General features: G+C 36.3%; 1 protein-coding gene across 7 annotated transcripts in view, besides 4 other annotated features; it reads left to right on the forward strand.

The window, feature by feature from the left end:
- The window catches only part of ZNF407 (zinc finger protein 407), a 467,802-nt gene that overhangs the window by 198,806 nt on the left and 244,491 nt on the right, over nucleotides 1-24,505 (forward strand). For 2 of the 7 annotated variants that reach the window (XM_011526070.3, NM_001146190.1), the window contains one exon: nucleotides 7,289-7,952. The exons of 4 other annotated variants lie outside the window; for them this stretch is intronic. In XM_011526070.3, coding sequence (XP_011524372.1) covers nucleotides 7,289-7,394 — 106 coding nt within the window. In that variant the 3' untranslated portion in view covers nucleotides 7,395-7,952. Of the gene's footprint in view, nucleotides 1-7,288; nucleotides 7,953-9,155; nucleotides 12,220-24,505 lie in introns of those variants that run through there. One more of the 7 variants, XM_011526069.4, reaches the window with a different exon arrangement.
- Nucleotides 552-911: an enhancer, noted in NCBI's record as "active region_13503". NCBI's record gives its function as "activates an Ori minimal core promoter by ATAC-STARR-seq in GM12878 lymphoblastoid cells {active_cell/tissue: GM12878}" and the evidence as "EXISTENCE:reporter gene assay evidence [ECO:0000049][PMID:35858748]".
- Nucleotides 9,270-10,469: an enhancer, noted in NCBI's record as "BRD4-independent group 4 enhancer chr18:72517901-72519100 (GRCh37/hg19 assembly coordinates)". NCBI's record gives its function as "activates an origin of replication core promoter dependent on BRD2, P300/CBP, MED14 and CDK7 cofactors, and independent of BRD4, by STARR-seq in HCT116 cells {active_cell/tissue: HCT116}" and the evidence as "EXISTENCE:reporter gene assay evidence [ECO:0000049][PMID:35650434]".
- Nucleotides 10,454-10,503: an enhancer, noted in NCBI's record as "active region_13504". NCBI's record gives its function as "activates an Ori minimal core promoter by ATAC-STARR-seq in GM12878 lymphoblastoid cells {active_cell/tissue: GM12878}" and the evidence as "EXISTENCE:reporter gene assay evidence [ECO:0000049][PMID:35858748]".
- Nucleotides 22,480-23,302: an enhancer, noted in NCBI's record as "H3K27ac-H3K4me1 hESC enhancer chr18:72531111-72531933 (GRCh37/hg19 assembly coordinates)". NCBI's record gives its function as "activates a minimal SCP1, AML or CMV promoter by ChIP-STARR-seq in naive H9 embryonic stem cells {active_cell/tissue: H9 hESC(naive)}" and the evidence as "EXISTENCE:reporter gene assay evidence [ECO:0000049][PMID:30033119]".

Below are 24,505 nucleotides of genomic sequence, written 5' to 3' on the forward strand. Positions count from 1 at the left end.
AATTGTTTTTAAATTCAGCAGTTTATCTAGTAGGTGACAGATTAAAAATGCACGCTCGAAGCTTGTTCTCTGGGTTTGAACGTAATTCTATTTAAACTGTAAAACATGGTGTCATCATTTTCTGACAGTCCTTGAGACGGAATTTATCTCATCATTAATTAACCATCATATTTCTTACATAGCTGCTGTTAATTAGAGTAAGGTCATTTGGGAGGGCTTATTAAGTGGAACAAATTCAGCAAATGTTAAGAAAGTACGGCTGCCAGCAGTTCAGCAAGTTTGACAAGACCTGCTAGGTGATTGATAACTGCACCAGTTTGAAATCTAGACCTCAAGGAATGGAATGGTAACTGGGGACGAGAAGAAGCAATTGCAAACATATGCCTGCTTGTAGGCAGGGAAGAGATAGATTACAGTGCATGTAGTGTCAGGAGGCTTTTTTATCATGAATTCCACCTCTCTTACTCACCTGTTATTTTTAGAACGTTGGATCTGTTTGTCAAAAAGAAATGAAGGCTGAATAGATTCAGTCTGCGTGGCCTTCAAGGGGCTCCAGAACTGAAAGCTCTCTGATATGTGAAGTGACACTGTTTTATATTAACATAATTTAAAAGGACAGAATTGGTTTGCTTGTCGTTAAAATAACAGCTGTTTGCTCTGGCTGACATTGTTGCCAAATTTCAATTTAGTGGCAACATAGATCTAAGTCTATTTGTCTGTGACCTGCCTCGCTTTGGCAACCAATGAATGGTACCAGTGGGTAGATGATAAACTCCAACAGATGACAGGCTGTCGACAGAGAGAATGAAACTGAATCTGAAAATCTTATAATGTGACACATCTGGTACAGAATTGTGTGCAGGCTAGCCTGCTGCAGAATTGTATTGTGGGAGTACAGGAATGCACTCTGGGTCATATCAACACGTTCATAAAGGGAAAGTTTTCTTTTCAGATTGAGAGGGGTGACCTTATATTAATTGACAGTAATTTTGAGCAATTTTAAGGATTTTTAAAAAGGTCTTTCGTATTATTAAAGGTTCAGGTTTCACAAAATGAGCCAGTGGCTAGCTGAAAAGCCCAGGCTGCTATTGGTGCCTTTAGTGTGTGAAGTGCTTATGAGTTAATTAGCTGCAAGGCATTTTTTTTTTTTTTTTACATTTTAAGGGAAAAGTTAGCCATATTTCATTAATTAAGGTTACAACTATCATATTAATGGGAAAACAATTAAGTGAAATAATGATGCACTAGTAATCCATTTTAGCGCATCCGTAAAGACCAGCAGGAGGGATCAAGGTGAGAGTTCTGGAATAGTGTACATGGGGAAGGGAAAGCATGACTCACTAATGCTGGGGAAAGGCGCAAACGCATTTAAATTTTTTTAACCTTTAAGTTTCATTACAGCAATCTGTGTTCTTATTTTTCATGTCTGAATCATAAAATACAAACCAGTACATAAATTTCTGGCCAGAGACATTGCATGGAACAGTAAAAATGAAAGGTTTTACAGGTATTCTTTCTTTCTTCCTTTACACAAACACACACACACACACACACACACACACAGAGTCTCTGAAGCTTTACCTTTTCTAATGACACAAAATTGTTGATTTTTTTAATTTTTTTTCTTTATGAGGAAAACATTGTAAAGCAGACTGCATGATTCAGAGTTGGTTTATTAAAATTGAGAAACAGTGAAAAAAAGGAAGGCAAGGAAGAATATATTTAATATAATTTAAGTAGGAAGAACATAACCAATTCTATTTTTTTACCAGTTAGTCTTTTCACAGTGTATTTATGCAATGATGAGGGATTATTTTCATTTCAGTGGTGTGGCAAGAGGTTGAATTACAGAGGGATATATATGATGGTGAATCTTAAAATTATAAAACTCTTAACAAACGCTGCTTTAAATCAACCTTTTCAGTGTAACTGTGGAGTCTTTTACTGATGCAGAACTCAGTTTTTCTTTCAGTTTTGTTTTAGGGATTTATTAATTTATGACAAACTTTAGTGATAGGTTGAGTAGTAAGGATATTATCTTTGTTGGAGGAAAAACAGTCTTTATTATTTTAGGCCTATGGGCTCATTTTGTAACTAGGGAAAGATGATCAAGGATTTTTTTCTTGCTTTCAAACTTAATTTTATTTTTGCAAAAGAAATTGTTTTCTCTTTGAACTCCCAGAAGACTGACAGAATCTTTGGATTTTATGTTTAGATTTATAATAGTGTTGATGCTTTGAAATTAAAATAATTTTTAATCTCTTACTTGATCTAATGGTTTACTACCTTTTGTCTTATATTTTTAAATGAATTAAACTATGGTGATGTAGTTAACATCAAATCATAATGATAATTTGTTAGTTAAAGGCTATTTCAGTCTATAAAACTTTGATTACTAGAATTTAGCTGTGGTTTTATGAGTTTTCCCATATGATTGCCCACAAATTTTTAGGTTGACTAATATTGTAAATTGTTTAAACTGTTCAAAGAAATTACTTAGCAATTAAACCTTCAGCAAAATTGTAATTCATTTTAAATTTAGCACGGAGGTTTGATGCTGTTTCTGAGGAAAATAACTGAACATAACAGTGAAATATGTAAATTCAGTATTTTCCATGAACTGTTTCCCATAGGACAGAAACAGTCTCAGCACTGTGGGCATAGGAAAACCTTCCATTAATGTGAATTAATCTTGCAGTACAGGATCCCTTGAGAGAATTCCTGCCCTTGACATTCATTCAGATTTCATTCATTCAAGATAAATTTTAAAATTTTTGTTTCATTCCTGATTTCTAGCACTTCAGGTTTTAATATTTAAACTTGAATGAAAGTAACTGAAATCATGTAACATTGATTTATGTTAGATATTACCTGTTGTCCCAAGAATTGCATAACCTGAAAACATTAAAAGGAGTAAGTTGGACATTGACAGCAAAAATATCATATAACAAGTCAGTATCTCTTTTCATTTGCAATAGGTAGAGACAGTGGTAGTGCTTTTGTGCATTTATATTGTTTGGATTAGCATTCAGTGTTTCTCTGCAAACTGTAATGATTTGCACACATATGCATACTGTCCTGCTTTGGAGAATGCGTATGCACCTGTATCCTACAAGTAGCAATAGGATGAATATTCAATCAAAGTTTACATATTCAAACATGTTTTAGATGTATTTGTCATTCTTAGGTTCTATTGCAGCAGTATTGCCGTTGTTGAAAAAAAAATCCTTTTTTTTTTTTTTTTTTAACCATTTTATTAGCCAAAGTCTACCAATGCCATTGCTTTTTGGTTACCTTACATTTTTTCCAAAAATACATGGTCCATCTTGATCATTCATTTCACTGATGAGTCCTGGCTTTCAATAACTTGAATAACAATAGAATATTTTTCATCTTTGAGGAGAGTCCAAAGACAATTCTTTGTATACACACACAGTGAGTCTTTCCATTTTTAAAGTCATGGAATAAAAATATTCCTAAGGATATAACCTGAGCACAAATCACATTTAATGAAAAGATAGACTTACTTAAATTTCATGAGTGAGTTCTGAATTTGGTCTGCTTTTTGTAATTCTTGGTCTTAATGCTTCTATTGTAGTTTTGTTATTCTTATGCTAATTTTGTGCATTCCCCTGCTTTTGAGTTTGCTGATTAGATTGTACTCTTTTATTGTTTTAATTCAGCTGTTGTCTTTTTTATTCTCATATTATTTTTATTTTCAGATTTTTTCCAATAAACAAAAGTTTAGTCACATTGTTCCCTCTTCCACATTTTTTCCAGTTGTTGAGATCTTCAGTCTTTTTTGCTTGCTTTCTTGTAGATTTGCTTAACGGAAATGAACGTTTAACCTCTTGCCTCTTAAAATTCATATTCTCCTTGCCATCTATGGCCTTCCTAATTATTTAAATTATTTTTAGAAAAATGAACAGTTCAAAAAGAATTATACGAAGATAATTGTTTTTCTCGTGATGGGAGAAGCCTAAAGCCAATCTTAGTCATTTCTCATTGGAAGCATATATAAACTCAGTTTGTTTTATATACTGAAAGTTTTTGATTAGTTTGCTTCCTAGGTAGAATGGAAGCCCAGTGTCTCAGGAAATGTTTCTGAAATTAATACGATTTTTACATTGAATGTCTCTGATAACTTGACTTCATTTGTCAGTGATTTGCCCTATCACTGATAACTTTTATGTCATTTGTCAGGTTATTGTTTCAGGATGGAAATAATTATGACCATTATTTGTAACTCAAACATAGCTTGTTAACAGACAGATTCATTATACCGTTTTTTTTTAAACTCTATAAAATGTTTCAAAGAGTCTCTTCCATAAATTTAAAGCAATCCTAGACATTTAGGCACTTTGTTAGGTTTTCTTTCCCCGTTAGAAAATAAGCAGTCCATACTCTTAGTGATATTCTATAATTTCTTTTTGGAATACTTGGAAATAGTAATATAATGATCATTAGTGCTTATGAATTTTTGTCTTGATCATCAATTATCAACTAATTTTTAAATTGTTTTTCTCTTGAGTATGATTAATGATTGTGTACCTGAAAAATGTAAAACATTCAGTTTGTCACATTCCTTTGTCAAGGTATATGAGATTAATTTTATAAATCAGTATATATGAGATTAATTTCATAAGGCTTCATTTATATTTTTCTTTCATTATCAGTGTGTTTTCATGGAAATCTAGACTTACTGTTTATATTTTATATATACTTCGAGTATCACAAACGTGGGCCATGAAAATGGCAATGTAATGGTATCAGTGAAACTGATTGAAATAGAATGTTCCCTCAAATCATTTGTTGGATATTTAAGTTTTAATTTTTTATTTTCTCTTACAGGTATATTCAATTATATCCTGAAAATGAAAGACAGTTAATTAGGTTATACCTATAGGTATCTACTTATCCCACCTGTAGTTCAAATGCAGTTTATTGTTTTGATCAGAATTTCACACCCGCAGATGCATGTCGAGGTCTCTTGGTTGGTGTGCATTTGCTGCCAGTGATAGCTGTATGGTATATAGAAGCCAGGGCTAGTTTATGAACTTCACATGGAAGAGCGTTTTGTAGTGTCAGTGGACACCTATAACCTCTTTCAGTTACCGCTTAAATTGATGCTACTCACTGTGAACATGACAAAAGGAGAGTGTGAATTACTCTGTATGAACAATAAACATTCCAGAAATCGTCCAAGTACATAGTTCCTTCAAAATGTTCTGTTAGCACATGACCTTGCTAGAAGAAAGTGCTCTTCCTTAAAAAATAACCATTTTCTTTTCCTTTTCATTTTTGTCAGAATTCTTAAAAAAAAAAATTTTCCTTTGCTTAAACAAAATAGAACCAACATACGTGAATATGAAGGATAAAATAAATAGAATCTCAAATCTTTTCACTGAAAGTCACTGTTAGCTTTCTGTAATGTCCCTCAATGAACATCTCTCAATTCTCATGTATATATAAATGTACATATAGTTATACTACGTACAAATATATTTACAGAATGTTTTTCAACTTGCATTTAGTCTATATGTTATGGGCATTATTCCATGTCAATTTGTAAATGTGAGTTTACATAATTTTAGTGGCCTTTTAACCTATTGTTTATGTGAATCATGATGTTACTAGTTAATAGGCATAGTACATTTTTACTCTGTTAACAATGTTACATATACATTTTTTCAAGTTATTATTTTCCTAGTGTAAATTCTACACTTTGAACTGTTGTGGAAAAGGCATTTTTATTTTGTTGCAGATGAATAGTCTTCCACTGAATGCTCACAACCGACAATGTGTGGTAGTTGTTTTGTTGTATGTATTGGAAGGAGAGGGAAAATATTATATTAAAATCCAAATTTTATGTAGCAGAATAATTGTAAGATTTCAGAGAAATTTCTAATTTGCTTTGCTTCAGGTCAGTTCGAAAATTTTTCTCTTACTCTTCCTTTTTGTTAACAATTGTTTGACGGAAAATTTTGTGAAATATTCTAAGTGTTTGACAAATAGTGGATATCCAGTGGAAGAAAACAGTAACACTAAATATATTTAAATTGCATATTTTTATGTCGCTTAGTTTTAATGCATATGCATGTTTTATAGAGCTTTTGATGTTCCAGGGAAACTGTAATAATTAAGTTTGCAATACATTGTCAAGTTAAGATTAATGATAAATATGGTAGTCTGTTCTGACATTAAGCCAGCAATCAACCAACCAATAGTAGGAATGTGTTTTTTTGTTGTTGTTTTTTTCTTTTTTTTTAACTTTGCCAGTGTGTAGGAATTTCAGGGTATCTCAGGCCATATAGAATTCAAAAGTTATAAATTTGGAGTGGTTATAATGTTACCTTTCTTTTTTTAAATAATTATATTGAGACTCATTCTGACTGTTCCAGGGTGGTAGCTAATGAGAGCTAAGTCCAGCGTTACCACCCCCTTAGCCAGTTTTGTTACCTGTCAGAGTCAAAAGAAAGCCCTGTAACAGCCTTGTATTTCAGTGCTTCACTCAATCCTGAGCTAACTGGAGTGAGGGGAAGACCTGTTTGCTCCCGTGCTCTTGGGGAGATGGATTTGGGGCTGACATCAGCACTGTGGTGGTTGTGGGTTTGTTCTTCCTGGCACTTCGTCCCTAATGGGGATACCCCGTTGGTCCAGCCCTCTGGTTCATTGCAGTGCTAGTGCTGGTGCTGGTCCTGTCATCGATAGGGAGACCCTGGAAACTTCCTGTTTTCTGAGAAGAAGGACCTGGTTATCAATGGGCATCTAGAATGTGTCTGTGGGATTTTTCTCTATAAAGTACTGAAAGTGACAAAATTCATTTTGCATTGTTGAGAATGCATAGTGTTTATTTTTAGGAGAGGAATATTTTCTTCCTATATTTTAGCAATTTTAAGTTGATTTTCTGCAATGCATTATGTTATTTCTCTGATATCTTACTAAATTTTATTAAAGAATTCGAAAAGGCAGATTTTAAAGAATGGGTCAGTCTTACCAGAAAACATACAAGCTTATTCTGATTGCGCATGAAAGAGAAAGTTTAGTATTTCTAGTTTGGTCACATTTATATGTTTTACAAACCAGGGAAGCTGTGTTGTGTTACCTTGGGTCTGTGTGTCAGCTGTGAATGACAGAGATAATGTGGTTTTTATCAATATTAATACTTTCTGGAGCATGGTTTCAAAAAGGTCAGGAATGACGGAGCGAAAAATGTTCACGAGAATGCTTTACAACGTGCCTTGAAAACATGAAGCAATTTAACAAACTTGATTGTCCTTGGCTTCAGAGTAAAGGTTGCATATCGAAAGATCGGGACGTTGCCAGGAATACAGAACAACAGGAACGCGTCGAGTGCCTCTGAAGCCCAAAGTCTTTGTGAGCACTTTTCATAACTGATGGGACCTGCAGTGGGAGGATTGGCTGAGGACTTATTTTGGTTGAAGTTAGACATATTTCATTGTCTTTTTTTTTTTCCTTTTATCTGTGTACTTCTTTGCATACTTGAATTCATTTGTGTGATGTAAATCATCACACAAATGTAGGCTAGTCTAGTGATTTTCTGGAAGGAACTGTTATTTTAAAAATTGAGTACTCAGTTTTATAAAATTGTCATCATCAATGAGTTAAAAAAAAAAAAACCCTTAATGATTCAGGGTTTATTTAAAGCTGACTGTCCAATCAAAGTTTTTGTAAGCATGCCATGTGACAAATGCCTGGCATATTCAGTAAGGAACATATTAATTATTCTAATTAACACATGACTTCAGAGAAGTCTTTCGTTAATCAGCACATGGATCTTGGTTATTTGTACCCTTTTGGGAAAATTTCACACTCAGATGCAAAAATACCAGGCTAAATACATTGCTTTGTTTGTATGTGGAGAGGATATTCATCACAATGGTACTATACATCTAAGAAAACAGAAAGTAATTAAAATGCTGATTACTATAGCCAGTCTCTAAAACGTCTGATTATTTGTATTTCATATGTGCTCACATTTCTGAGAAGTTAGCTTTTGTACCACAACCTACCATGATTATCTGATATTCTCCGGAAGGTTAGCCGAGTTGTTTCCTATATTACTTAGGAAAAAATTTCTTTTCACAATTGAAAATGTCAGCATCAATTTAAAGTAACACTAAGCATGTGCTTGCTTTCTGAATATTATCCTCCTCCACCTCCTTCCAACCACCCTGCCGAGGATCTGGCTGTGACAGTTTGATTAGATCATCAATCCTCACTGTTAACAGCACTTTTCCTGAACACCTGGGCTGCCAGGTCACATCTGAATTCAGCTACCGTTGTTTCAGTGACCCGACGTGCATTCACCATAGCAATTGACATTATGTGCACAAATTAAAAGTTACCTTATAACAACAGTTTACTTTAAAAAATGACCTCTTTTTTCCCCCCATGTTGAAGTTCTGCTGTGTTATAGGAGGTGCATTTTTGTATGATGAAAGACTATTTTAGAACATAGTCACACACCTTGATGAAGGTGTTTCCTTTTTCTTTTTACTTGGGCTTTCATTTCAGAACTTCTATAATGAAAATAATCGTCTTTCATCTTACTCTTCTGCTATTTAAAAATCTTTGATTGCATTTTTAAGATTTGATTACATTTTGGATTTAAGCCTAAGTAAATAATTGAATTTCTCATATATTGCGGAAAATCTTTCTGCTTTCTGCTCCTAAATTCTCCAGTTGAACTGTCACAATAGTCTGATTTACACTTTTCTATTTATAGTTGTAGTGATAAAGATAAATACCTACTTACATTTTCAATGCAAATTGTCTAGTAGCAGACTGCAACATAAGCATACTGTTAAATCTAGCATTATCTGATTTTTTGATTCCATAATTATCTTTTGTTTTCCCCACAACTTTTTATTTTTATAATGGGAAGAGTAAAAATATAAGAATGTTATCAATACATTTATGATACTTTGGAGTAGAGACCTGACTTCTGTTAAACTGAACCAAAGTTTTCCTGTTGCTGTTTGATCATTGTTAGGTGGGAATGAACACCATCTGTTAAAGGGTCTCCACCTGGTATAGGTAGAGACAAGAGTCAGTATAAATTATATCTGCAATTTTAACTGGAACTGATTATAATGTTTTGAAGTCATTCATTGTTCATTGTTTTAAGACAGATTTGAGCATTGTGCAAGCAAATGAAGATGTTACGTTGTGTGAGAAAATTGAGATACTCCTACTTGACTTCTCGACTCGTCCTCTTTCATTCTTTGTTTAATGGAAGAGCTTATGGATGTATATTCTACAGACTTTACTATTTCCAATACATTTTTTTCCTAGTGATGTAACTCTTTTTGTTAAAAATTTTCTTGAGTTTTTAAATGATTTATCCTTATACACTAGAACTTGGGAAAATATCTTAAAATAATACTAAACGAGTAAGATTATACTTTGTAGAACTCCAAGCCATCACGTGTGCACTTAGGTTTCCTGCCAAATCTGGAGCAGTGGCTGGATGGCGCAGGGCCTGCTGTGACTGCAGGCCCACACCTTGGCTAGGCCGCGCCCCTTACTTAGGATTACTTAGGTTTTCCTTAGTATGGCTAATGTTGATTGTCTTTATCTTATCTCAGAAAGTCTGTGGCAGTTGTAAACTCTCAAGCTTTTGACAGTGGCACAGTGTGATATGTTGGGAAGTTGATTCACCTGTCAACCTGGTTGTAATTCACCAATCTCTGCTTTAGCCTATGCCAATGGGGGGTTGTAGGAGGAAGGCGAGAGCCAGGGGTGGAGGACCTGAGTTCCAGTTGGTCCCTAAGTAGCTTTATTTCCATGGACATAGCTTTTTGACTCTCAGAGCCTTAGTTTCATTTTCTGGAAAGCAGATATGATAAGATGTGGACTGTTGTGAGGATCAAACAAGATGATAAATGAAAATACTGTAAGGGAAATAAAATGACAACATGTCATAGTGGATAAAGCTCTAGCAGAGGATGATTAAGATCCAGTACCTGAGTTTAAATCCTGTCACCTCCATTTTATTAACTGATGCAATTTGTCCGAGTTACTTAACCTCTGAAACTCCGTTTATTCAACTAAAAATATAAGGAATAATACTCCCTTTAGAAAATTCTCATAAGGAGTAAATAGAGTGAGACTGAGTAAGTGTCCCAGCAGAGTGCTTGACATGTAGAAGCTATTCTAGGACTATGAGTCACCTTTACCTCACACCTATGATTAATTTAGCAAAAATTTTCTCAGGCATGGCATGGTTTTAGGTTCTAAGAATGGAGTGGTGAGCAAAATAAACACTTCTTACCCATAGAGCTTACATTGTTATGGCAGAACTGGAAAGTAAGTGAAGAAGCACATAAATAATTTCAGAAAGCAGTAGATGCCATGGAGATAATAACGGGAAGCAACAGGTGATTGTAGATAGATTGTTTACAGTAGGCACCTCTGAAGCCTTTTTAAGGCTTTTCGGGCAAATTAGCCTGCATTATTTGCAAGAAGTAATGCAAAGAGAGTCCCTGTATTCTGAGGCTGAGTAGGAACGTGAATGATGAGAAAGGCAGCATTAAAGAGTATTCTAGGTGGAGGGAACAGAAAGTACAGTGAAACTGAATTAGGAACTGAAAGTGTTGGGCTGCATGTGCTGAAGGAGGGTCCTGTGGCTGTAACACACATACAGGCCAGCTTGTAAAGAGACATGAGCAGGGTCCCGAGAGTCATGGAGGTAGTCTTCGTTGTGCATGGATATTCATGGGAAGGTTTTCACAGGGCAAGCAAGACTTTGAACAGTCACACTAGTTATGCTATAGTATGGTGCTCAAGTTCCCCTATGATAGTATTTCAAACTTCTGTATCCCCTGCCCCAGTTGTTGGCAACTGAGTATTTTCATCCTAAGTACAGAAGTTGGACAGGATATAATTTCAAGTGTAGAATAAAAATTGACATAGTAAAGTAATATTTGTACCACTTTAAAATGTATCCAATAGAATGTTAACACCATGATGATTTGATTCCCACCGTCCATTCATTTAAAAGTACATGAATAAGTTCTTTAACTGTCAGAAAATTTGTTTTTCTTCTTGAACTCACATCCCTTATTTCCCCCACAGATTTTATTGTATTTGTATGTGGACATATTTTAATGATCATCTTATCATTTCTGGGTATCAGTACATACTCACGGACACATACATTGATGTAAGGTTTTTTTAATTGTTTTATTTTTAAAAAATAAAAGATGAGGTCTTACTATGTTTAGCCTAGGCTGGTCTTGATCTCCTGGGCTCAAGCGATCCCCCACCTCAGCTTCTCAAAGAGCTGGGATTACAGGAGTATGCCACAGCACCTCACATTTTTTTTTTTTTGAGACAGAGTTTCACTCTTGTTGCTCAGGCTGGAGTTCGATGGCGCGATCTCGGCACACCGCAACTTCCGCCTCCGAGGTTCAGATGATTCTCCTACCTCAGTCTCCCGAGTAGCTGGGATTACATACATGTGCCACCACGCTTGGCTAATTTTGTATTTTTAGTAGAGACAGGGGTTTCTCCATGTTGATCAGGCTGGTCTCGAACTCCTGACCTCAGGTGATCCACCGGCCTTGGCCTCCCAAAGTGCTGGGATTATAGGTGTGAGCCACCACGCCCGGCCAGCACTTAGCATTTTTTATATTTTAGTATCTTTGCTCATAAAGCTCTAAGTGTTAAAAATGTGTAGAAAGGATTATTGTAATTACTATTAAAACGATTGAAACAACAAAGTCTATAAAGAGTTTGATAATTATTAAGCATAAAATGTATAATGGTATTGGAATTGAATGACTTACTGAGACTTTAAAATTTTTAAATTTCAATTTTTGTGTCTATGGATGAAATTTATTGCTAGAATAAGGGAAAGTCTAATGGAAAATAATGGTAAATGTAAATGTTACTGAGATACTATAATTGTGGGGCTTACAAATAGAGTTCTAATGATTATTAGCTATATTGCTTAAACAGTACATATGCTCACCTATTGTATATGTTGTTATGATAGGATCAATTACATTTTTTTTAAAGTTAATCTAATTCTAATGAGTACATGGTAAGAATGAATAAATAGAGAAGTGCTTGTGCTTGTTGAGTGTCATCACTTTGATAGACATGGGCATTTAGTCAAAGGATAGTACCCAATAAAAAAGCTAATGGTAATGTTCCTCTTTGAAGAAAATAAAAATATTAAATTATATCAGAGACATGTTTCTTTTACTGATGTAATATTGGTCTGTGGGGAATAAATGTAGAATTTTTCACCTCCTCCTCCTCCAAATCATAAACAATGTGGAGCTAACACAGACCGAACCGTGGGTAAATAAGAGTGCTCTTTTTCTTACCTCGCATAGTAAAACTGCAGATAGGGTATGATTTATAACAAGTTATTTCCCAGGATTCTTTTACGAAAAAAAACAGCAAAACGTCAGGTAATCCCACTCTTAGATCCGGCATGCATCTTCGCCATGCAATTTTATGCAAAAGTGAAATGAAATTCTGCTCTCTTTAATATTTCTTTCCTCCTCTTCTTTTACACTGCTCTCATTTAGAAGTGATATCTTTGGTTGATAATTGTTCGGGATTCACAAGGCAAAAAATTGTTAAGCAAAAGTTATTGTCACTCTCAGCATCCCATTTGCAGTATACCTGAATTTAGAACATCTGAATTTGGGCCAAGTGCCCTATGCCTAATGTCATGCTTTCTCTTTATAGAAATATGTACAAACTAGGAAAGTGCATAGTGAAATCTCTAGGTTTCAGTTTATGGCTCCTTGATTTTAAGAAGGTTTTTCTTATAATGATGGTTTCTTTGGTGTCCCAGTGGTTTTTTCCACTTTGGAGCAAGGTAGATGATGGGCAAGAAGAATGCCTTTCTTCTGTTAAGTGAGGAAAAGGCAGTTGTGAGTTAAATAGGTGGTTAAGAAGAACTGGCGTATGGTTATACTTCAAGAGCTTTCTTAGGCTTATCGATAATACAAAAGATTATTAATGGAGTCTAGATCAGGAATTGGTAATTTTAAACAGTTCTTGCTTATGTACCCTTTGCACATACATACAAAGTCTCCATGTACCATTAGAGTGTATGGAGGTCTAAGCTGGAAGGTCGTAGCATGGAGAAGGAGTGAAAGGAATTAGTTCAAGTGAGAGATGACTGTAGTTAGCACCACAGTAATGGGAGTGGTCAGATTGGTGATAAATGTTGAAGGCAGAGCTGATGGCACTTGCTGAAGGATGGATTGTATGTGAGATGTAAATGAAAGAGGAATTATGTGGATGTGATGGTGCCTTTAACTGAGATGCAAAAGACTGTGAGAGGAACTCATTTTGAGCAGTCTTTGCTAATCAATAGATAGGTTTGAAGTAGTTTCAGACATTCAAGTGGCGATGCTGAACTGGAAGTTGTATGTGTAATTGTAGAAGTGAAGGTAGAGGCCAGGTGTGAAGGTAGAGCCCTCCACTGGGATCAGAAGCACTGAAACTAGTGGGAAAGGGAGAGAGAGATGAGGACCAACCTTTTGGAGCTCATTTAGTGGTCAAGAAGATGAAGTGGATGCTGCGGTGGACTGGAGAAGGCAAGTTGTTAAGGAAGGCAGTTTGTGTGGATATTTTAAATCTGAGTGCCAAAAGTTTTAGATTTAAGCGTCAAAGGTGATGCACCTTTGCTTTTTTTTTTTTTAAATCAGTAATCTCACCACTTGATGTACTGAATGATCATGTAGGATTCTGCTGTGAAATTCATGTGCATTTTAAAGCTGAGTGGCCTTATACAGTCATATCCTGTTCTTGGTCTTAAACTGTTAGAGAAAAGAATAAATAATGTGATTTGATAAAATACTCTGTTTCCACTCAAGTAATTGGTCAGATCAGGCATGATAACACTTTTATTTATTCCTAGTGGTTTTCATTTTAACTTTTTAAACTTCTGGTATTCTCTGTTCTCTAGTTTTGAGAGTCCTTTTGTTTGTTGCCTCATAGTTAGTTTTTAAATTTCAGAAATATCGCCGCATATCTACAACTATCTGATCTTTGACAAACCTGAGAAAAATAAGCAATGGGGAAAGGATTCCCTATTTAATAAATGGTGCTGGGAAAACTGGCTAGCCATATGTAGAAAGCTGAAACTGGATCCCTTCCTTACACCTTATATAAAAATTAATTCAAGATGGATTAAAGACTTAAACGTTAGACCTAAAACCATAAAAACCCTAGAAGAAAACCTAGGCATTGCCATTCAGGACATAGGCATGGGCAAGGACTTCATGTCTAAAACACCAAAAGCAATGGCCAAAAACAAAACAAAACACCAAAAACAAAAGCCAAAATTGACAAATGGGATCTAATTAAACTAAAGAGCTTCTGTACAGCAAAAGAAACTACCATCAGAGTGAACAGGCAACCTACAAAATGGGAGAAAATTTTCGCAACCTACTCATCTGACAAAGGGCTAATATCCAGAATCTACAATGAACTCTAACAAATTTACAAGAAAAAAACAAACAACCCCATCAAAAAGTGGGCGAAGGACATAAGCAGACACTTCTCAAAAGAAGACATTTATGCAGCCAAAAAACACATGAAAAAATGCTCACCATCACTGGCCATCAGAGAAATGCAAATCAAAACCACAATGAGATACCATCTCACACCAGTTAGAATGGCAATCATTAAAAAGTCAGGAAACAAAGGTGCTGGAGAGGATGTGGAGAAATAGGAACACTTTTACACTGTTGATGGGACTGTAAACTAGTTCAACCATTGTGGAAGTCAGTGTGGCTATTCCTCAGGTATCTAGTACTAGAAATACCATTTGACCCAGCCATCCCATTACTGGGTATATACCCAAAGGACTCTAAATCATGCTTCTATAAAGACACATGCACACGTATGTTTATTGCGGCACTATTCACAATAGCAAAGACTTGGAACCAACCCAAATGTCCAACAATGATAGACTGGATTAAGAAAATGTGGCACATATACACCATGGAATACTATGCAGCCATAAAAAATGATGAGTTCATGTCCTTTGTAGGGACATGGATGAAATTGGAAATCATCATTCTCAGTAAACTATTGCAAGAGCAAAAAACCAAACACCGCATATTCTCACTCATAGGTGGTAACTGAACAATGAGAACACATGGACACAGGAAGGGGAACATCACACTCTGAGGGCTGTTGTGGGGTAAGGGGAAGGGGGAGGGGGGAGGGATAGCATTAGGAGATATACCTAATGCTAAATGACGAGTTAATGGGTGCAGCACACCAGCATGGCACATGTATACATATGTAACTAACCTGCACATTGTGCACATGTACCCTAAAACTTAAGTATAAAAATAAAAAAAAATAAATAAATTTCATTGAACTTAATCTTTGCCTATTACTCTGTTAACTTTGTTTTAGGAAGCCTTTATCCTTTTGCCATTGTCTTTGCATGAAGTAGCATGGCAGACTCTCTGAGAGCTGTTTCAGAAAGCTCTGGATTTGTGTCTTCGCTTTTCCACTTAGGATTTGTGAGATGTCTGGCAGTAGCTTAGAATTTTTGTGTGTGAAAGGAAATAATATTTATTTGAGAAGGTTGTGAAATGTAAATGAGATACACATTTTATAATACATAGCACACAAACTACTTAGCAAATTGCTTACAATGACTTCTTTACTCTGTTTCACATATACTACCTTCAATGTAATCCCCCTCTACACCCAGAGAAAACAGCCAGAATTTGGTTTTCCCATATTATTGTTTATTTTTTTCTAGATAACCTATAATTCCTTTGAAGGTAACATCTCTTTTTTCCACCACTTCTGCTTTTATGATTTTGTCTTTGGTTTTCAACACATTGATTATAATGTGAAGTGAGAGTGAGAGAGAGAAAGTTGTGTGAGCGTGTGTGTGTGTGTTCGTTCTATGAGGTTTGATTAGCTTCTTGAATGTAGGGGTTGTTGTTTTTCTGCAGTTTTGAAACTTCCCCCATTGCCTCTCTCTGTACTACCTCTGCCTCACCCTGTTCTTCTGGGACATTTTCGACCTCTGTGTGGATCCCACGTGTCTCTCATGCTATGATCTGTTCTCGTTGTTCCTTCTCCTTACTCTTTAGTTTTTATGATTTTTTTTAATGACTTTGTCTTAGAATTCAGTAATCCTGTCCTTTGATATGCCTTCTTTTAAGCCATCCAATGAATTCTTGATGAAAGATATTTTGTTATTTGGTTCTAAAATGCTCACCAGATTTTTTCATGTAGACTACAGTTTTTGTTGCGGTGCTCCATTTTTTCATCAATTTCTTGTCCCTCATTTCATCTCTTTGATGTGGTCATCATAGTTCTTTCAAGGTTTTTACTTATTTTTACCCTGAATTGTTGGTTACACCTTGCCTGTCTACAGGCCCCGATGGTGTGATATGACAAGAAGGATGGCCCTTTTCTCTGTTAGGCAGAAAAGGGAGGAGTGGTTGCCTTGTCCACAGCAGATTGTGCTGCGCTGGCTTGCAGTTTTAGTAAGACTTGGTCCCTGTGTGGTTTGTCCCTGTGGACATCCTGTGTTTTTGATTGAGCTTGGACAGGTGGGCATAGCTTCTCTCTCCTCAGCCCTCAGAGACTGCATGAGGGCTCCTTGTGTTCTGGGGAGGTCTTGGGCTGAGTGCTTCAGGCTCACACTCTGCGCAGCTTCAGATCCATGGAGGTGAGGCACTGTCAGGTCCATTCGCTCAAACGGGAATTTGTCTTCATGATGCCGTGAGGCCACAGAACACTTCGCTCTGCGTCACCCCCTTCACCCCACACCCACCACCTCATCAAAGCCAGTGTCGTGGGAAGACCTGCTTTGCCACTGGGGTTCCTCCAGTTTCTACTCTGTCCCATCAGCCCAGGGTGAGGGCCGGTATTTCTGCTCATTTTCTCTTACCCCACTGGAGCCCTTCATCTTAGGGAAGCCAGATGTGTGGCTGACCTGGAATCACCAAGTAACATGGGGGAGGAGGTGGCATCTGTTCATAGCTTAGCTCCAAGGGCCCCTTTGTCCGCCTCCTCCTCTAATTCGTCTTGTTCTGGTAGCTCCCACAGCTTACTCAGTATCTTGAAGGACGTGGTGGTTGTAATTAATGCCCCCTTTTTTGGTTGTTGCAGTAGCAGCTTTGGTTTGCAGGATCTATATATCCTATCAGGAAGTGGAAATTCCTAATTTTGTAGGGAACTGAGAAGTTGTAATTTACTAATTAGTCTTTAAAATTGTATGGAAAAAATTCTTAGTAAGTGGAATAGTAGAAGGAAAGTGATGTAAGTGGATGTCCCATTATCTGCTTTCTGTGTTGGATGTGTGGTTCCTACCCTTCATGGCATAAGGGCATATTTCATTTCTAGTTATAACATTAAAATCATGTTTTAGTAGCATTGAGAAAAGTTCAGAGACCAAATAATACTCCTTATTGGTTTTGTTTGTGAGTTTGTTTTTGTTTTTAAGATACAGGGTCTCCCTCTGTTGCCCAAGCCAGAGTATAGTGGTGCAGTGATAGCTCCCTGTAACCTCCACCTCCTGGGCTCAAAGTTCCTCCTTCTCAGCCTCCCAAGTAGCTGGGACTACAGGCGTGCACCACCACACCCAGCTAATGATTTTACTTTTTGTAGACACAAAGTCTCACTATGTTGGTCCTGAATTCCTGGCCTCTAATGATCCTCCTGCCTCAGCCTCCCACAGTGCTGTAGTTACAGGCATTAGTCACCGCTCCCAGCCACTACTCTTTATGTTCTCAATAAATGATTGGTATTAGTCTTAAATGATCCTAATGTATGTTTACTTGAGCTATTTTTAAAGGATTTATTTGAATATAAGTTTCCCAGTAAAGAAGGAAGAAATTCAGTTTGTTGAAGAACAATCAGTATGATTTTATCCTCTGTCAATTTCCAGTGCCCTGACTGCATTGTGGATAGTATATGAGAAACAGAAGAAGATAAACATATTTTTTTATCAGGAAGGGAGAGGATTAAAAAGTAATTTTTCCAAAATGATTGTCTTTTTACAGATTTAAAAAAATGTATAATCTTACTGCGTAAAATTTTTTCTCATATAATTTGATGAAAAATTTGGTTTTATTCTTGTGTATTTGTTAGGCATTAAAATAATATGAGTGGTCTCTATAGTACTTTCTTGGCTTTTTTCATTTACCCTTAATGAATTTGTTATGCTAAAGTAGAGATACATTATGAAATATACAGTACATTTTTAAAATTCAAAATATCATATTATATAATCTTTATTAATCAGACTTTTATTTCAAAATTTTGTTTACATTATAAAATTTTACAATGTAAAATTACATTATAAAATTGTTATTATAAAGAAATAAAAGTTTATGACCAGAAGTATAACAATATAAATTAAACAAAATAAAATAAATGGATCATATTTTATCAGTAGAATTTTTGGTAGGATTATAACCTACCAAACAAAGAAAATGGATTATAAAAATTAGGGTTATTAATTCTATATTTACAAATGTTTCTATGCTAGAATATGTGATTTTATTTTATTTATTTATTTTTAGAGTTGGGTTCTCACTATGTTGCCCAGGCTGGACTATGATCTTACTTTGAAAAGTTGGATATTATTATCTACATTTCCTTTGTTTTAAGAATTTCCCAACAGTGTCTTATGAAAATGTCACTGACGCATCTCTGCTACCCAAGTAGCACAGTGTCGGCCCTGGTCCTGGTCACTCAGGGGCAGTGGTGTGCACTTTTGTCTTGTTTGCTTTTGTCCCTGTCTTTATCATATTTCTTCCCCTAATCTCCAGGAGAAAATGAGTTTTGTTTTATTTTGGGGGCTTATCCCTCTGTTTATGTCATACACTAGCAATATGGGATATATTGTATTTTGAGGTTTAAAAATGTAACAAACTTTCTTTTCTCACAATACTAATCAAAAAATTGTTGAATACCATTGATTTTCCATTATTATTGTTCTTTACAGAAAAGCTTCAGTAACTTGCCTGAGTTCAAAAATTAGCAGTTATTGGGAGCAAGATTCGAAGTAAATCAGTCTCTGTACAGAGGCTGTGTGACATAAACTGAATCCTGACTCCTTATTTCAGCACCTCCCTATGACATCACGATATGGCTACTATTGTAGGTCCTTTCTACTTAATTGTATTGATAGGTTATTACTGCGAAAGTATACGCCTTTGATTATGTTGCTTTCTTGCTCCACAAACAAAACAAAGCAATAGTGTCCCATGCCTCCCAATAACGTTTTGAGGTTTTCTGTGTTGTTCCAATCTCTATGTAAAATGTATCTAAGTATGGACTGCGTTTACTTCTCCAGCACGATTCGTTTGGACTTGGGATATGAATATTATTATGCTCATGAGTGTCCAAATTCATGACTGAATGTACAGGATACTCTCGTATGAAGGGACAATCATGAATTTGTTTGTGTTCTGCCACTTCTCTTTGGTTTATCCAACTAAAGAGAATTCCTTGCTGATGGGTAATTATCATATTATATTTCTGGTTACTTTGGCTGATGTTGACTTTGAGGTGAAAAATTAGATATTTCACCTTCTGATTCAACCCCTCTGGTTCATTTTCTGAAAGAGCTGAGTGGAATTTTCTTTCCAAAATTAAGATTTCATTAATTAACAAGAGCTTTTATTTGTGGAAATAAAAATCAGAAAGACCTTTTGGGTCAGTTAGCGTCCTCTGTCAGATTTTCACTTGCCCTGTCTACTCTTTATTTGTAGTCCATTTTGTCATAAGAATTGGGTACTTCCCTTAGGAAAAATTCTGTTTCTATAAATGCATTTAAAAACCTTTCTGAATGTTTATGGCTCTTAATCTTGACCCATTTCTTACTTTGTTATGCCACAATATTATTGGCATTTTGTTTGGTGGCTTTGATTTATTTAAACCTAGAATTTGGCGTTTTATTTGTGTGTTTTAATAGAATAGTGATACAATTGGATATGACATTTGTCATTTAAATTGATATCCATAAAATTCAATACACAAAGTATTATTCTAATAAGTACCTAATCTGTATAAATTGCTGAAAGTATTCACTTTTAACTTGCAAATATATTAATGATTTTGAGTTTTGATCAATATTTGCGTCAATAAAGACATGAACTTATTAAATTGGTGGTATAATTTATGTACTAGATAATAAATAAGGAATTATTTTCTATAGACCTTTATTCCATTGCATTTCTTTTCCTTTTGTCTGTTAAAATTGCTAAGGATCTCATTGATTCCCTCATATGTTTGTGCACAAAAAATTTATCTTTGAATAAAATCTTGTTGTTATTTTATGTTAATTATAATTAGGGTTGATTTTTTATTGATCTGAAAGTTTAATATGTTCAGAAATTTCAGCAAATATCTTGAATGCAGACTCTAAGAGTTTCCATCTTAGCTGATACAATGCCAGTTTAGTTGGTAGTGAGGCTCACAGCTCAAGTAGGGATATCATGCTGGTTTTATAGGAGAAACATGTTACAGGTAAAACATCTCATTGGTCATTTACTCTTTTGCAGTTTGGATTTCTGATTCTTTCTGACCATGAATTGCAGGGAGTGAGTGTTGGTGCCTCTTCTATAGTCCTGTTGTTTTTCTTATTGTGTCTGAATGATGTCTGAATACAAAACATAATTACAATGTCTTTCTATCATAGTTCCTCTTGCTGAGATAAAGTTTATGTTGTTCATTTTATAAACAGCTCCCACACATCCCCTTGTTTGCTTTGTGGTTGGCATTTTTCCCTGAAAATCACTTCTGCAATCTTCAGTCAATTTAGAAAAATATGTGTGATAATTTATATGTAAAAATAGGTAACTTTTATGATACTATTTTAGTTTATAAAATAAAAAATATTAAGGAAAATTGTGCATTTCTTTACCTCATAGCATTTAGTTATAAATTAGTCTCAAAATTACTATGACACTATTTAAGATATTTGTTTTTCAATAAATGAGTATCTATTTTTGCATTTATTAAGGCTTGTATATGTTCAAGATCCAGTGAAGACTGTCTTGGGCGTGTATAATTGATCTTAACCACAAGGCTGAGAAGTTATGTGCAGGGCTTATGATGCTACTTCCAAAGTATTAAATCCTCCAGAGAAGCCTGTAGTGTGGGATGCAAACTATTTTAAGTGTGACCATGAGGTGTTTTTTTGTGGACCATTTTAAAGCCAATGATAGGTTCTAAAGCAATCTCAACCTGAGTGAGGTAGAATGGGTTGGTTATCTGCACTCTAGCGGCCCTTCATAGCTATTGTATTCTGGATTTCAATTCGGCACTTTATGTATTAGCTAAAAATTTCATGACCAGATCTTTTGAAGTATACAAAGTAAATCTTCAAGGTGATAGTTTATCCAAGTGTAAATGTGTTGCACTAGGTCAGCTTGGAATTTTGAGATGACTTTTGGCATCATTGCATACATCTGGTTTGTGTACTGTGCTGTGCACGTTTGGTGAGTCCGCCTGTGCCCATGTCTCCCTTGTGTGTTAGTAGCAGGAGTCATAACTGGAGAAGCAGTGCCAGCAGCAAACGCAGGCATTCTCTCTCGAGCATAGCGCCATCCCGGAACCTGTGACTGCTTGTCCATGGGTCAAGTTGTCTCATATTTGATTTATTAAAATGAGTTGTTCTTCTATTCTGGACATGTGGATAATTAGGTTTGTGTGCTACATTTTTTTTGACTTTGTAATTTCTGTATTCTTCAGACATTGTAGTATTTGTTTCTTACATTGTACCTACATATATTACACATGCAATATGTGTTTATTAACCTGAGTTTGATTTTTTGCACATGCACATAAAATGGCTACTTGAAGATTTTTATTTTAGCTTATCCAGTGAAATTTGTTCACTGTCCTTCTTTTGACTAAAATAAGCGAAGCTCCTTTTACACACAGATGTATTTTAATTCAGCAGCTGCATTCTTACACTTTTTTAAAAACACACTTTGGCTAAATCAAAAATCAAATGCAAAATATAGCACAGAGAAATATCACACATATTTGTGGCCCTCTCTGGAGGACTGAGGAATAGATTACATTCACTCATATGTGGCCTGTTTCCAATCCTGATAAGTCATTATTCAATACATTTCAATAATACAACTTTAAAACATATTTTTCATTGTATTTAACTGGTTTTAAGGCCATTGAACAGTAAAAAAAAAAAAAAAGCTAAACATGAATAAAGACTAAAGCATTTTACCATGACTCTTGATAAATCATAAAGAAAACAATTTTTCTCTCTGTCTCCCTCCTGCCCTTCTGCGCTGAGACATGTCACAGCTGGAAACATGGCTTGTTTGTGACATGTCTTTTACCTCCCTGAGAGATGGGACCACATGTCAACAAAACACTGAAGCCTCATCTGAAGTCCCCCAGCCGCCTTGGTCAAGTATTCAGAATTCTGAGCCTCTGTAAAAGTTCATTATTGAAACTGTAGGGAGTTTACTATGGAAAAGGCCGGAAAAAAAATAGCTGTAGATATATTTGTATTTGGGTAAAAGTATTCACACTATGTGTTTGGTATCTTGTTATATCGGGGCTGAATCACAGTTATTGTAAGATGCTTTTTGCCCTTCCCTACATAATTTTTATGAGCAAAATTTTCCTTTACTTAAAAGGAAGTTTGTTTTGGTTTCTGAGAGTAGTCTTTAAATACAGAATGTATAATATCCGGTGAGGGTGATAGGCCTTCCTAATCCAAGGATATGGAAGTTTAACAGTGTGACTTTGAGGCTAATTTTACAAGCATACAAGGCCTACATGATCACCCCAATGTCTTCCTTGGGCACTGAATTTCTAATGGGCTTTCCTGGGCAGAACTATTGGTGGAGATGAGAGGATGCTGGGTTTGCCGCTCACAGGAGGCAGAGCCCAGGGAGCTCGGGGCATGGCATTCCTAGGACGGGACCTGTGCTCTTTCTTTTGTTCCTCCCTGTGTCCTTTGGCTGTCATAATCCCTAGCCAAGAGTCCAGCTGTGAGCCTTCTGAGTGGATCACCGAAACGTGTAGGTGGTCTTGGGGATCCCCAAAGGCACCATGCAGGTTTTGCCTCTGAATCTCCCTGCTGTCCCCAACCTGATGCCCTCTTACTCTCCTGAATTATTTTCTTGACATTCTTCACCCCTTACAGGACCTTAGCTGACTGACAGTGGATGGCCCTCCCCAGTGAGATTGTAGTGCTGTGAAGGCTTTGTTCATTGTGCTGCCTCTAGTGGCCGGCGCAGTGCCTGGCCTGTAGCAGGGCTCCATAGGTAATTATTGAAGGATGATTGTGTGAATGAGAGAGCTGGTATTTAAAATCAGCACTGAAGGAGGGCAGTGTAGAGTATTACAGAAGAAGAAAGGAGGGATCAGGATAATGAAGACAGTGGCTTAACTTTGGGAAGAGTTTTGTGCAAGTGTGAATAGAATCGATTTTCCAGTGTAAGGGAAGCAGTTGGAAGACAGGACTGGAAAGATTGTATTTCAGGATTTGCAACACTGAATAGATGGGAGGTTTGCGTGTGCACAAAACCTGGGGAGGGCAGGCAGCAGGTGTCCCAGGAGCTTGGAGCAGGCCCCACAGGCAACTGCCCAGGGATCCATGATGTCTAGTAGCCATTTGGGTTGGTGAGCAGCCCTACAGACTGCAGAGAGCTGTCCTCAGTGAGGCTGAGCATGGTGGGGTCTGCATTCCAGGGATTCACATTCATCAGTCAGGTCATCTCCACCTGGAGGGAGTCAGACCACCTATTGTGGATGGCTCTCAGGGCCTGCAAACTGGTTCAGGGACAACGAGTTCACTGTCACTAATGTTACAATTCTGTTTTGGTGCAAAGTGAAAGACTGCAGTGCTGGGGACTACTGCTTGATCAACTTCTGTTAGCTGACATTGTGAAGTAGTTTACCTATGCTCTTTTATTTCATTCTTAACCAGTCGTTCAACCTTGCCATTCTGGGAAAGTTGAAAGCTATAAATTCCAATGGCTTTAGGTTGCAGGGCTTGACCTGAAACACAAGTGCATCTGATCTCAGAGCCCTTGTTCTTTTCACTGCCTCAGATTGGGACCTACAATGACAGTTCAGTCTTAGGAACAGAAGTCTATGATGGAAGATGTCACGAAAATGGGGCATCACCTATGCCGTGAAAGTTGTGGGAAAGGAAACTAGGGATGGTAAATCAGGTGGTTGGAATTGCAGTCTGGCTCAGGAAAAGAGGGAGAGTGATACTCTACAACGTCTGGCTGAGGGGCACATGGTAGCAGACAGCACCAGTCGTAGGCAGAAGGCTAAGAATGCTTATGCATGTGTGTTCTTTCTCAACCCCTGATTTCTTCAGAGATTGGGCAGGGACATCATCAGTCTTCAGTTCTGTGATCGATGCCTTGTCTACAGAGGAGCTGCAGAATGGAAAGAAAGTTTAGGTACTAGTGTTATTAGGTTGGTGCAAAAGTAATTGCTGTGTTTGTCATTAAAAATAATGCCAAAA

This window comes from Homo sapiens, chromosome 18 (genome assembly GCF_000001405.40).
Source record: "Homo sapiens chromosome 18, GRCh38.p14 Primary Assembly".
Taxonomy (NCBI): domain Eukaryota; kingdom Metazoa; phylum Chordata; class Mammalia; order Primates; family Hominidae; genus Homo; species Homo sapiens.